Below are 14,530 nucleotides of genomic sequence, written 5' to 3'. Positions count from 1 at the left end.
TTATTTCATTTGCTCCCCACAATAACCCTATGGACAATTCCATAACTTCCATTATAACAGAATCGAAATTTCTAGATGTTATATATGCTGTCCAAGTTGACAGCGCCATCTAAAAGTACAGACATTAAGTCCAACAGAGCTTAAAGGAAAATAAATACAGACATTATTTGTACAGATACTTGCTCATATGGTAATGTGGTAAGAAAATCTAAATTAATAAGGTTTTGATAATAGTAATTATGGCTTGATTAGTAAATACAAACATAGGCTTTGAAGGCAAGCCTGATAATACCTGGCTCTGCAACTAACCAGCTGTGTGGGCTCTGGCCTGTAATTCAACCTCTCTGAGCTTCGCTTTCCCCATGTGTAAAATATTCACACGATTGGTGTAAGCTGCAGATGATTTACTGTATGTAAATAGCCTAAATCAATTAAAAGGGGGCTCTTGTGATTAAAATAATTATTAGTGTTTCCCCCCACTGATCCCATAAATCACATTCAATCCACTGTGCCATAATTTAAATGTGTAAAAACTGTGAATCAGACTTTTATTGGATTAAATAGCAACGTATGGGAACTGAACAAAAATGGCATAGAGCTATCCAAGAGTTTCTGCTGTCGCCGGTTGAGAAAGATGCCAAGTTAAGATCAAGGAGTTGATTGAGGTAACTACGGGAATCTGAGGAAACATCGTTGCTTAACTGTAAAAACTAAATCAAACTATTTCATCCTCCTCAAGACCACAGCAACATCCATCTTGCTCCTCTGTAGCGTGGACGGGGCAGAACCCAGGTGTTAGGAAACGCACCTGGTCTGCTCCCGCCCACTAGGCCCTGGGCACCTCGGGGCTAGGGACAGAGGTTTGGAGCAACTCACCCCGGAGACTCCGTTGATACTGCCCCAGAATCTCCTCCAGGGTAGAGTTCTCCGGGGACTTCGCCATGCACGCACTCTAGGCCCAGAGCTGGGAGTTACGTGGGGAAATGTCCAGCTTTCTCCCTTCCGAGAACAACAGGCCTGTGGCCGGGGAGCGCCCGCCTGCTTCCTGCCGCGGCTGTCACAGGGGAGCCTAGAATCCCGCACAGAGCTCTTGGGGGCTCTTCCCACCCACTGGCCCTCGCTTTGCACGTCGGGAGTTGTAGTCCTCACGTTCAGAACCTGCAAGCTCGACAATCCTCAGGGCCTTCCAGTTACACTACAATTCCCAGAAACCACTGCGCTCCAGGCGCTAGCTTGGACGGTTTGGCTGCCAGAGCCTGCTGCCAAGAGACAGGCTTGCAGGCCCCGCCCTTTTCCTCCAGCCCAGCCTGGTTTAGTCCCGCCTCCATCCCACTCTTCAGCTGCCTGGACCACCCAAATGACAGAAAGGGCTCACTGAAGGCCTTGACGCTTCGAAATTTGCTAATATGCAGCAGTTGATCCCCAGGCTACTCAAGGACGCAGATAGTAAACTCTGAACCCTGCTTCAGTTGCGAGATTTTTTAAAACGGTCGAATAAATCTTCAAGAAATAGAAGCTCTAAATCTTCCAAACAGCCTAGATTGTAAAGGCGGCCGACACTACAACTCCTAGCATGCCCAGCAACCGGACCTTCACTTGGAGTTGGCGCTCTGCCCGCTGGGAACTGTAGTCCTTGTTGGTTGCGGTCCCACCTAACGCCGAGGTCCTCTTCATTGTTCAAGCTGGTCTTTCGGGGCACGCCTGCGCAGTGGGCAAGCTGGAAAAGCGTGTGGGTGAGACCCTCGCACAACCCCTTTTCATTGTCTGTGTGTGGCGCCTGCGCAGTAAGGGATCGTTGGAACTGGGCAGGAGGGGATAGGGTCCGGCTCCTCGCCCTTTCCCGAGGCGCCTGCGCACTAGGCAGTCGGTCTTTGCCGTTACCGCTATGTGTGGGGCGTGTGTGGAATAACGTTATTGCCCAGCGGAGCTGAGGGCCCCGGAGCTCGACCGCAGCGGCAGCGACGACAACAGCGGCGACGACGACGACGACGAGGTGGGGGGAGGACGGCGTGCGAGAGACTCACGGGACGCGACGCGCCCCGCCTCCCCCGTCCGGTCCCTCTCTCCACGGTAAGGGGTAAGTGATGCGATCGGCTGCTCGGTGTAGGCGCCGCAGCCGCAGCCACCGCCGCGGCTGCTTTCCACATCCTGCTCCTCGGGTTTGCGGCGAGGACTCGGGCGCCGCCCGCCGCGGGGCGGGGGTGCGGGGCTGGACCGCGAAGGGGGCGCTTCCCGGGTGCTCCGCGCGGCGCCGCCACCCCCACCCTCTGCCCGCCTGGGACCCGGGGCTTGACGGGACCACCCTTCCCATCCCCCACCCGCCGCCCCCCGGAGCTCCAGTCCTGCGGCCCCCCGGCTTTCCCGAGCCCCTTGCTGCCGCCTCCGCATCCCCTAAGTGCATTGAATCATTTTCAGCTTTCGACTGGCTTTGTGCAGCCCTCCCCCCTCCGCCGTAGCAGTTTGCGAGGGGTGCGGGCGGAGCATTGGAGGGAATGGCTGCGCTGCCGCTGGGGAAGGGATTTTTCCCCCATTGGAGCAGCTCCCCGGGCCAATCCCTTTTGTGTGATTGGTTTTGGGGTGTGAGGCGGTTGGCGAGGTCAGGCGAGCAACCTTTTGGACGCGTTGGGAGGGCGTGGAAGACGCGGTGTCATGCACCCTGCCTGGCGACTGCACCCCGTGGAGGCTCTGGCTCTGTAGTAAACCCGGGGGAGGAGAGAGTGGCTTCCTGTCGGCTTCATTGTCCTAGGATTCAGATGTAGGGTTTTGGTACGTTTCGCTTCCATTTTATGCAAGCGATGAAAAAATAACATTTGCAGCTGCCTAACACAGGGCGGGAAGACGTGGGATTTGTATACTAAGTCACAGAATCTCTGTTCGGTGGTGTTTCGTAGAGTTTTATTTATTTATTTATTTATTTATTTATTTATTTTGAGGAATGTAAGGAAGACAGGGACTATGCCTGCTGGAGTCCAAGCACTGCCAAGGTGATCAATATAAAATTACTAGGTGACGTTGGAGCCTGGGCTAGAGAGGGCCTGACAACGAAGCTGTTGTGTCAGGGAAATGAACAAGCAGAATTGTTTTTTCATTGGGCAGGTAATGCATTTATGTTCCTGAGGGAATGGATACATCTTTCCGTTTATTTTTTAAGCAAGTAAAACAAACAAAACAACTGGCCCAGTACATTTCTGTTACCGAAGTTGTTAACTCATTTTTATTCTCTTAATGAAAATTCAGCCATTTGGGAGGAATTTGGCGAAGCAGATGATACATTTGATTGAAAATGCATATTTTAAAATGATTTAATCCTTAAGCTTACAATGTATGCAGCCGTTTGCTGGCGTTGCTTCTTAAAACACACCAGAAGAGAGAATAAAGCAGGATGGGGAGGAGCAGGTGGAGGAATAATGGGAGAGGAGAGAGTGACATTATGACTATAGTATCTGGATCTTCACTGGTATAACCCTAACTGGGTATGCTTCAGAGACTTAGGAATTCAGCTCTGGAAACAGTACACTGATGAATAGCAACTTATGTATTTTTCTGTTATTATTTTTTAAAAAGTAAAACTAGGGCTGCCTTTAGCTCTTCCTAACTTTGTAGATAACACGGAAGAGCCCAAGTGCACTTGACAGAGGAAGACACTAAAACTCAGAAAGTTAACTGACTTGTCTGCCCAAGCCAGACAGTTAATCGAAGGCAGAGCCAAACGAAACTCAAGGTCCATTCTGCAGAGTGATCTTTCCTGTGTCCCCCTAGCCCTTTTACCTTGTGAAAATGTATGGAAAGCTTCTCTATGTGCTCCCTGAGTAGGCTGTGACTATCACTGAACTTGATTCTCACCGTGATTAATCTAGTTCTTGCCTTTGTGATGTAAAAGTAGTAATCCTCCTAAAATGGACCTTTACTTTCATAAAGTAACTTACTACATGAGGAAAGATGTCCTAACATGTGCTTTTCATAAAAACGAAGTGTTGCAGTGTTTTCCCTACTACCTAATGGTAGCTACTTAACGGTAGGTTTTAATATTATTTCTTGAAAATCAATAGTATTTTATAATAGTATGATGATCAACTCTATAGGCTGTGTTAAAAATAAAATTTCCGCATAACAAGAACCTATGATGTTTATTTTGCCACAGTTAATGAGTTGTAATCATTAATGAGTTATTAGTGATTACTTTTAACTTAAACTAGAATTTACATTTTAAGATATATTAACTTTATGTTTTTTATTGGGTTGATTTTGCCATAAAGTGCTTTTTTCTTCCCTTATAATTTTAATCGTTTAATTTTACGTTGCATTTTAATAGACTTCTTTAAAGGATTTATTATTTATCTTAAATTTCAACTTTAAAAATCTGTAACTAAATTTCAGTATGTGGGATTATATTCAATCATGCTTTAAATGTATTTTACTGGTAAATTTCATTGTGTTCTGAGATTATTTTGTATGGAAATAATCTGCCTGTTCCCTATTTTAACATTAGAATAGTGAAATTTATACTGTAAACCTTAGCATACATTCTGCATATTAATGCTGTTATGGTACTTTTTAAAATTCTGTGCTTCGTGATTTATTTGATTTGTTCCAAGTATCAGTTTCTTGTTCCTTTTTATCTACTGAAAAAAAGAACTAGTTTTATTATTGTATCTGATTGCAATTAGATAATGCTCATCTAGTACTAAATATTGTATATGCTTAAGCTTTTTTGTCAAAATGTTTTTTATTCCACAAAATTGTATTCCTGAAAAATATTTTTTCTATACTAATTAATAGGTAAAGACTTTTCTTTCTTATCTGTCCCAAACACTGGGATGTTAAGCAGTGTACTCTTCAACTAAGTATCTGACAGACAACCTGATATTTAATTGCTAACTAAAGTATCTGTACAGTTGCAAATTATTCTGGAAGTATAACAAAAGAGCAGTTACGTGCCATTTGAAGAATGCTTGGTGAGTAGATAGTATTGACTGGAGCATTCAGTGTTGATCTGTTTCATTAAGAAATGGGATACTTTTGATGGGAAGAAATATCTTTATTTCATTAATAACCAAAATTTCTAATCAGATACCCTAGGTTTTTATTTACTTACTCAAAAATTTCATAAAGGAGTGTTCAGCAGTGAGTTAGCCATTGTGAGAGATAAAAAACATCTGTCTGGTAGTGTGGTTGATTAAACTGGATATATTGTCCAGTTTAGCAGAAATGTTTTAGCCAAAGCCAGTGACATAGCCAATGTGTGTTGCTGTTAAAGCCCACTTTTATATCAAATAAAGGTGGAAAAACAAAACAGCAAAAGCAAAGTTAAAGAAAACCTCATAAAATCTACTTACATACAAACAGGAATTGCAGAAAGTATAGAAGTGGAAAAGAATCCCAAGCATGCATTGTTGAGGTCTGAAAAACAAATGACACATAGCAGAGAACAAGTCATTTTTTAAGTATATCCATAAGTAATAAATGATATAGAAAATATTACCCTTTGAAACACAATATTTATTGAATCGTTGAATAATACCTACCAAATTTTGAACATTTCCTAGGTGCCAGGAAGTTTATGTGTGTGTGGTGTGTGTGTATTTAATTTCTGCAACAAACTTCTAAATTAAGGTATTATTTTTACACATTGAAAAAATTTGAAGCATAGAGTTAGTGAATAACTTTGCCTCTGCGTTACACATTCCTAAGTGATAGGGCCTATAATTGAACCTTTGTCTTTTTGGCTAAAGCCAAAATTCTTTCTACTCATCTTTTTTAGTAAGTTAAAGGGTACCACTTATTTCCTTACTCTGGTTCATAAAATTTTAGAATTCAAGGGAACTTTAGAAGTCAGCTCATACAATGTATCACCCACTACTAATATCTCTGAGATGTTATTGGGTCCAACTTCTCCACAAACCCTTCCCTGGGCATAGGAAAGCCTGTTTAGCTTCCAAAAAGTGTAATAGGAAGATCTCACTTAAATTGAGCTAGTAGCTGCTTTTACTATATAACTTCTTCCCACTGGTTGCAATTCAGTCTTTAGGAGTAAGATGAAGTAAGGTTTTTCTCAATATATTAGCTAGATTTTCTCTTGTCTAAATGTTAGGACACCTCCAACTTCATATGGTTTCCTTTGCCATCCCTCACATCTCTCAGCTGGATTCAATCAGTTTTGTCAGTGCTATTCTTTGTGTTCTGATCTTGTTTCCATATTTAATTCTGCAGTTATGGTCTGAATGCAAAGTGCAGTGAAATTGTCCCTTTCCTTATTTCAAGCCATACACTTGTGTTTAAAGTCTAAAATTGTATCAACTCTTTAACAACAGTCATCTCTGCTAATTCAAAGCAAAAAGCAGAGAGAGAGAGAGAAATGTTACATGGCTTTTCAAGTTATATTTATGTAATTCAAGGTACTATTTTTTGAGATTTTGTTCTCCTTTTCTAATGTTCATAAATGGCCTTTATTAAATGATAGTGTTAGTAACACCTATTAAGTAATGATAGGTTAAGTTTCTTTTGATGTTGGTCATGGGGTTTTGTTTTATTTTAGTGTTCCTGATTAACCAATAAAAAGTTGGCAGCCTTATGTTGATTCTTAATTTGTTTTCTGAAAAATTGGTCTGGAAACCACTGATGTAGTCAACATAAACCAACATTTTTACACTTAGCTAGATTTCTCCCATTGTGTATAAACACACAGGTGATGTTTTTAAACCAGTATTTTACCATTGCCTCCTATTAAATTTCATCTCCGTGAACGTAGCTATAGTTAAAACTTGAGATCTTCTTGAATCATGATTCTGTCATCCAAGGGATTAGCTTTCCTTCCTGGCTTTTTGACATTTATAAATTCAACAAGCCAAACTCTTATGTCTCCATCCTGGCCATATACTTAATATAGCCAAGGACAAAGCCATGCACATTTATAAATAGAATGAATGTTACATAAATAAAAGATGCTGGGAGGAAAGGTGACACAAAAATAATGAAAACCATTCGGATGGGTTTTTTTTGTTTGTTTGTTTTTGGGGCCTTTTTGTTTGTTTTTGTTTTTGTTTTTTTGAGACGGAGTCTTGCTCTCTCGCCAGGCTGGAGTGCAGTGGCTCAGTCTCGGCTTACTACAACGTCTGCCTCCTGGATTCAAGCTATTCCCCTGCCTCGGCCTCCCGAGTAGCCGGGACTACAGGCACGCCCGGCTAATTTTTTGTATTTTAGTAAAGACAGGGTTTCACCATGTTGGCCAGGATGATCTTGATCTCCTGACCTCATGGTCCACTGCCTAGGCCTCTGAAAGTGCTGGGATTACAGGTGTGAGCCATGGCGCCTGGCCTTGTTTTGTTTTTTAAATTAAAGAGAAAACCATTATATCCTCCAGCAGTAAAGGAATTAGATGAAGTTTACAATATACTGGAGGATATGGATAATTCTTTTACGATGTAAAGTCAAGTAAGGATAGATGCTATGAAGAAAAATTAATCAAGGTAAAGAGACAGTGGTAGAGGACTGCTGTTTTACATTTGTTTTCAAGTGTTCATTCAGGTAGTTTTCAAATAATATTTTGAAAAGAAATAATATGAAAAACCTTTTCACCCTACATCTTATCTGCTGAGTTACCACTTTTGCCAATCCAGTAAGTAGCTATTTTTATTATTTCTTATGTATTCTTCAATGAACTTTATTTATTTATTTATTTATTTATTTATTTATTTATTTTGAGACAGAGTCTTGTTCTGTCGCCCAGGATGGGGTACAGGGGCAGGATCCCAGCTCATTGCAGCCTTGACCCGCTGGGCTTAAGCAATACTCCCACCTCAGCCTGTTGAGTAGCTGGGACTACAAGTGTGCGCCACCATGCCCAGCTAATTTTTTGTAGAGATGAGGTCTCACTATGTTGCCAAGGCTGGTCTTGAATTCCTGAGCTTAAGTGATCCTCTTTCCTCAGCCTCCCAAAGTTCTAGTATTACAGGCATGAACCACCACGCCTGGCCATGAATTTTTCTTCACCTCAAGCAAATATAAATACATATTTTGTGTCCCCTCTATGACACAAAAAAATAGCCTCTTTATCCACTATGCTACACCTTGAGAACTATCTTAGAGTGGTTAGGGAATCCCTCTTTCTGAGGTGACATTTAGCAGAGAACTTGCATTAGGTAAGGAAGCATCTTGTAGGTATCTGAGTGGAGAGTATTCTACTCAGGTGCGGTGGTTCTGAGGCAGGAATGGGATAAGTGAATTTGGAGAACACTGTGGCTGAAGGTGAGTGAGGAAAAGGTGCTTATAGGAGGAAATGAGGTTGCATAGAGATTTTATTCATTGATTTTAAGTGCTATGAGCATTCATTGGAGGATTTTGAGCAAAGCCAAAAAATTGGGTTATATTTTTAAAGAATGGCTCTGGGAATTCTTTAAAACACTGGGAACCATGAGATAAGCTAGGAAATGATTGGAATGATCTGGTTTAAGAGACATTAATGGCTTAGACTAGAGCGACAGTAGTGGCAATAGTGAAAGTTACTAGTTTCTGGCTTTAGAGAGTCAAATGTTTTGGATATGTTAAGTTTGAAGTGTCTGTTAAACGCCCAAGTGGACACATCAGGTAGGCAGTTAGATATGTAAGTCAAGCATTCAGAGGAGAGGTTTGGACTGAGGATAGTTAAATGTTAAGCATCACCAGTAGACTTAAAGGGATCTCTTGGCTAGGGAGTTAGACTGAGAAGAGATCCAAGAATTGAGAATTGGTACTTTCCACATGGAAAGCTGAGCAAAAGAGAAGGCGCCATCGAGGAGGATTGAAAAGTGGACAGTGGGGTGTGAGGAAACTGAAGAGTGTGTTGTCCCACAAGCCAAGTAAAGGAAGTATTTTTAGAGATAAGGAGTGATCAGTCCCCTGTATCACCTTTAATCACCTAAATACTTCATAAGAAATCAGGCAGTATCCTCTTTCTTTCTGAATGGTCTCTGAGAAAGCAATTTCCTTTTTTAAATCTGGTTTATCAACATGAATGTTCACAGTTATTCTCCCCTGGCAACTACTAAATCTAAAGCCCTGAACAAAGTTTTACTCATAAAGAGGCCAATGCTGTTTCCTACGTGGATGAGTATGGCAGCTGCTGCTGCCTCTGATGTTTGAACAGGAGAAGCGATGCTGTTTCATAGGAAGAATTTATCAGGAAGCTAGTGATAGTCCAGCTACCTCAGAGGTTTATTGTGGTAGCCAAACGAGGTAGATGTAAAAACCAAATGAAAGGTATAATTGCAGATAGGGGTCTCCTTCCCTTATTGCCCCAAGTGTGGTACCAACTTGATAGTGTTAGATTTGAAGAACTATGTTGGCAAATAAAAATATTTTTCATTTTGAGTCTGTAGGAATAGTTTTTTACTTCCTATGCACTCTATCCCGATAGGCAGTTTCGCACATCATTTTATAATATTCTTGAGGGTAGAGAAAAGGGCTAGAAAGAGGATAAGAACAACCAGGGCAGGCGCGGTGGCTCACGCCTGTAGTCCCAGCACTTTGGGAGGCCGAAGCGGGTGGATCACCTGAGGTCAGGAGTTCGAGACCAGCCTGGCCAACATGGTGAAACCCCGTCTCTACTAAAAATACAAAAATTAGTCAGGCGTGGTGGCGCAGGCCTGTAATCCCAGCTACTCAGGAGGCTGAGGAAGGAGAATTGCTTGAGCCCAGGAGATGGAGATTGCAGTGAGCCAAGATCACGTCACTGTACTCCAGCCTGGGCAACAGGGTGAGACTCCATCTCAAAAAAGAAAGAAAAGAACAACCAGGCTTTGAGATAATAGCTTTTTTTCCCAATCCTAAACTCATCCTTTAATTCTAAACAGTGTCTAAATAAAGAGAATTGAGGTAGAAAAGTAAGCAAGTTAAAAGGCTTCCTTACTTTTTTTTTCCCTAGGCCAGCCAGGAAGACTTTCTTCTTTTAACTGACTTTTTTCTGGAAAGTGTTCAACTGAGTAATGGTTTGTCACATGTTACATGGAATAGAAAAAGTGCAAATTCAAAGCTTAGGGACTGGTTAGGGGTTTTGAACTCTAGGCAGCCAGCTAGAAACTGATTTGAGGAAGCAGGAGGGTGGGGGAAATGAGTCTGCTTGATGATAATAGGGGTAAAGTGCAAAATACTTATTTTGGTGAAAAAGGAACATCGCAAATACAGGACTTTTTGTGGTAAGCTTTTTGAGGCAATAGGACTATAACTTCACAATACATAGGTATCTTGCAGACCTTATATAATATGATTTGCTATGGCTGGTCATTAAATACTTCTCCTTGGATAAAAAATGCATATAATGCATTGCAAATTGAAGGCCATTTTATTTTTTATATTACAAATCTAATCCTAATACATGGCAGAAAATTTAGAAAACAAGATTTTCTACCATTAAGTACTATCATAATCCCACTAGCCAGTAACCCTGTTATGTATTCTTGTCTATTCTGGTTTAATTTGGTAACATTTTATCATGAAGTTAAACTTTCTGGCTCTAACTTTTAATGTGGCATAGAATCTGTCTTCTCAAACATGTAATCTACTTACACACAATTTATGAAAATTAAATGTATTTTTAAAATTGTAAACAACAGGCCGGGCCCAGTGGCTCATGCCTGTAATCCCAGCACTTTGGGAGGCCGAAGCCAGCAGATCACTTGAGGTCAGGAGTTCAAGACCAGCCTGGCCAACATGGGGAAACCCTGTCTCTACTAAAAATACAAAAATTAGCTGAGCGTGGTGGTGCACACCTGTAATCCCAGCTACTCGGGAGGCTGAGGCAGGAGAATCGCTTTAATCCAGGAGGCAGATGTTGTAGTGAGCTGAGATTGCTCCACTGCACTCCAGCCTGGGTGGCAGAGCGAGACTCTGTCTCAAAAAAAAAAAAAAAAAAAAAAAGTAAACAACACTGTAATGGACATTTCTAACTCTGAATTTCTGTGCAAATCAATGTTTTTCTTTGATTTCAACAAATTATGCTTAAAATACAATGCAGATACAAATGCAGAATTCTACTAATTAAACCTTTTCTAACTTTTTAATAAAATTACCCCCTCCAGTTTATATCAGTTTATTCTTCTACCACTGGCATATGAAACTGTGTGTTTCTTCACCCCTTCATCAGTGCTGAATATTACGTATCTTTTTTAAAATTTGCTTTCTTTTTTCTTTTTTTTTTTGAGACGAGGTCCCGCTCTGTTACCCAGGCTAGAGTGGAGTGGTGTGTTCATGGCTTGCTGCAGCCTTTACCTCCTGGGCTCAAGGGATCCTCTCCGCTCAGTCTCCCAGGTAGCTGGGACTGTAGGCATGGGCTGCCATGCCCATCTAAGTTTTTTTGTTTTCTTTTCTTTTTTGTGTTTTTTTTGTTTTGTTTTTTGTTTTTTGTTTTTTGTTTGTTTGTTTTGTTTTCTTGAGATGGAGTCTTGCTCTGTCGCCCAGGCTGGATTGAAGTGGCGAGATCTCGGCTCACTGCAACCTCTGCCTCGCGGGTTCAAGCAATTCTTCTGCTTCAGCCTCCTGAGTAGCTGGAATTACAGGCACACACCACCACACCTGGCTAATTTTTGTATTTTTAGTAGAGACGGGGTTTCACCATGTTGGTCAGGCTGGTCTTGAACTCCTGACCTCGTGATCCGCTCACCTTGGCCTCCCAAAGTGCTGGGATTACAGGCGTGAGCCACCGCACTGGCCAAGGTTTTTTATTTTTTTATAGAGACAAGGTCTCATTTTGTTCCCTAGGCTGGTCTCAAACTCCTGGGCTCTAGCAGTTTTCCTGTCTCAGCATCCCAAAGTGGTGGGGTTACAGGCATGAGCCACCCAATCTGGACAGTTTTGCCACTTTGATGAACAACAACCAAAAAAAAAAACCTTATTTAAATTTCTTTTATCAATAACACTTGACATTTTTTTAAAATGTGCTTATTGGCCATTGTATTTCTGATCTGAGTTGCTTGTATGTGTGCCTTTTGCACACATACATTATATTCACTTGTTCATCATTATATTCACTTGTAGCAGATTCTAGGATCACCATACTTCTGTTGTATCACCCTGCTTCCCTCACTTATAACAACTTTTGGGTAACAGATACTGTAAAATTTTTTCCCAGATTGTCATTGCCTTTTAAATTTGTTATTTTTACCCAACAAAGATTTTAACATGTATATAGTCAAATTTCTTATTTCCTTTTCCTTATGAAATAATCTCACTACATGAAATTTTATTAAATACATGCCTATCATATTTGTGATTTAAATTTTTACATACAAGTGTGTTAATTGATTTTTTTTTTTAGAATGTATTTAGTCATATATAGCCTGCTGTGTCAGTTTATTGTGTAACTCTTCGGAGTTTTTACTTTCTTTTTTTTTACTTTTTGTGAAACAGGGTTTCACTTTGTCCTCCAGGCTGGAGTGCAGTGGGGGGATCTCCATTCACTGCAGCCTCGATCTCGTGGGCTCAAGCCATCCTCCCGCCTCAGTCCCCCAAGTAATTGGGAATACAGGGCACATGCCACCAGGCCCAGTTAATTTTTTCGTGTTTTTGGTAAAGATGGGGTTTCACCGTGTTGCCCAGGCCGGTCTCAAGTTCCTGAGCTCAAGCTATCTACCTGCCTGAGACTCCCAAAGTGCTGTGATTACAGGCGTGAGCCACGGCTCCTGGCCCAGAGTTTTTACTTTCTAAACTATTTGTTTTTTAGTTTCCTCTTTTCACTAGAGTTAAATTGGGAGGTAAGTTTTTGAGGGTGTGTGTGTGTGTGTGTGTGTGATACAAGGAGCTCTCTATTTTGGGCAGGGGGGTTATTCTAGATTTTTTTCTTTTTTTTGTAATGAAAATTCTCAAATGTACAGGACAGTTGAATTTCACAATGACTACTCATATACTCACCATCTTGATTCTACTAGGAACACGATAGCAGTTTTATCACATACCTAGCCATTTATTTATCATTCCATTCATCAGCATATCTTGTATTTTGATGCATTTCAAAGTAAATTGCAGATATTAGTATTTGTGTGTGTTTAACTAAAGTGTTCTTAAATTAATTGAGGCTAATTATGTTTCAGTTTTACATTTTCCGAATGTACTACTGAAATATTTTCCAACCAATCACTGTTATATTAAAAAAAAGACAGTTAAAAAATGAACATACTGGTTTTCACTCCAGTAGTGTTGGTGAACTAGGTGTTTCTGTAAACAGGTAGCTAAATTGACACAGATGACATTGAGTTATTCCTTTTGGGGGTAGGGCATTTGTGTATGTGTGTGTGTGTGGTGTCTACTTTTAAAGAGGAATGATGGACGGGCGTGGTGGCTCCTGCCTGTGATCTCAATACTTTGGGAGGCTGAGGTAGGCGGATCACAAGGTCAGGAGTTCAAGACCAGCCTCGCCATCATGGTGAAACCCTGTCTCTACTTTAAAAAAATACAAAAATGAGCTGGGCATGGTGGTGTGCACCTGTAGTCCCAGCTACTCGGGAGGCTGAGGCAGGAGAATCACTTGAACCTGGGAGGCAGAGGTTGCAGTGAGCTGAGATCGCCCCACTGGACTCCAGCCTGGGCAACAGAGCAAGACTCTGTCTCCAAAAAATAAATAAATAAATAAATAAATAAATAAATAAATAAATCAGAATGGTAAGTTGAATTTTGTTTTTGTTTTTTAAGCTAAAGAGCTATTTAGGGAAGCTTATATTGTTTCTCTGATCTAGAGGTTCTATCCTTTAGTGGCAAATCCAGGAGTAAATTATTCATTCTAAATTTTATATCTTACTACATTCCACTTCCACTGTCCCCCTACCCTTCTTTACCTACATGAGGAATTCTGTGTTGGTCTATTTAGTAAAAAATGAGAGCCCTTGCTTTATGTTTTACCCTATGACTCTTTCCTTCCTTCCTTTCTCCCTCCCTCTCTCTCACTCTGTCGCCCAGGCTGGAGTGCAGTGGCATGATCATAGCCTACTGCAGCCCCAAACTCCTGGGCTCAAGCGATCCTCCTGTCTCGGCCTCCTAAAGCAGATAGGCATGAGCCACCACGCCTAGCCTTTTCTCTATGATTCTAAGTGGTGTATAACAAATTCCAGAATGTTAAGGATCTGCTATAGAGAATCAACAATTCAAAAATTTAGGACCGGGCGCAGTGGCTTATGCCTGTAAAGCTAGCACTTTGGCAGGCCGAGGCAGGTGAATCACCGGAGGTCGGGAGTTGGAGACCAGCCTGACCAGCATGGAGAAACCCCGTCTCTACTAAAAATACAAAATTAGCTGGGCGCAATGGCGCATGCCTGTAATCCTGGCTACCTGGGAGGCTGAGGTAGGAGAATTGCTTGAACCTGGGAGGCGGAGGTTGCAGTGAGCCGAGATTGCGCCACTGCACTCCAGCCTGGGTGATAGGGCAAAACTCCGTCTTGGAGAAAAAAAAAAAGGATTCAAAATTTATAAATTGGAGAGGCATGAACAAATAGAATCCAAGTCGGTGAAAGGTAAATAAAGTAAAGTTTAGAACTTGGGGAGGGTACCATACCCTGGGGACAAGGGGATG

The 14,530-nt window shown here is 41.5% G+C and overlaps 2 protein-coding genes across 31 annotated transcripts in view; one reads left to right on the top strand and one right to left on the bottom strand.

Moving 5' to 3' along the window:
• Nucleotides 1-1,076, bottom strand: part of SDCCAG8 (SHH signaling and ciliogenesis regulator SDCCAG8) — a 244,051-nt gene extending 242,975 nt beyond the window's left edge. For all 6 annotated transcript variants that reach the window (NM_001350249.2, NM_001350251.2, NM_001350248.2 and 3 more), the window contains exon 1: nucleotides 877-1,076. Coding sequence is in view for 2 of the 6 variants with exons in the window: in NM_001350248.2 (NP_001337177.1) it covers nucleotides 877-943 (67 nt within the window). In the remaining 4 variants the exon portion in view is untranslated. The remainder of the gene's footprint in view (nucleotides 1-876) is intronic.
• The window catches only part of CEP170 (centrosomal protein 170), a 131,358-nt gene continuing 118,159 nt past the window's right edge, over nucleotides 1,332-14,530 (top strand). For 21 of the 25 annotated variants that reach the window (XM_017002951.3, XM_017002946.3, XM_011544343.4 and 18 more), the window contains exon 1: nucleotides 1,836-2,077. The gene's annotated coding sequence lies outside the window, so the exon portion shown is untranslated. Of the gene's footprint in view, nucleotides 1,734-1,835; nucleotides 4,016-14,530 lie in introns of those variants that run through there. The other 4 variants (XM_047435483.1, XM_006711843.5, XM_011544335.4 and 1 more) reach the window with 4 other exon arrangements.

The sequence above is a fragment of the Homo sapiens genome, chromosome 1 (assembly GCF_000001405.40).
Source record: "Homo sapiens chromosome 1, GRCh38.p14 Primary Assembly".
NCBI classification, from domain to species: domain Eukaryota; kingdom Metazoa; phylum Chordata; class Mammalia; order Primates; family Hominidae; genus Homo; species Homo sapiens.
Note: the sequence above shows the minus strand (reverse complement) of the source record. Positions and strands in the feature narration are given on the sequence as shown.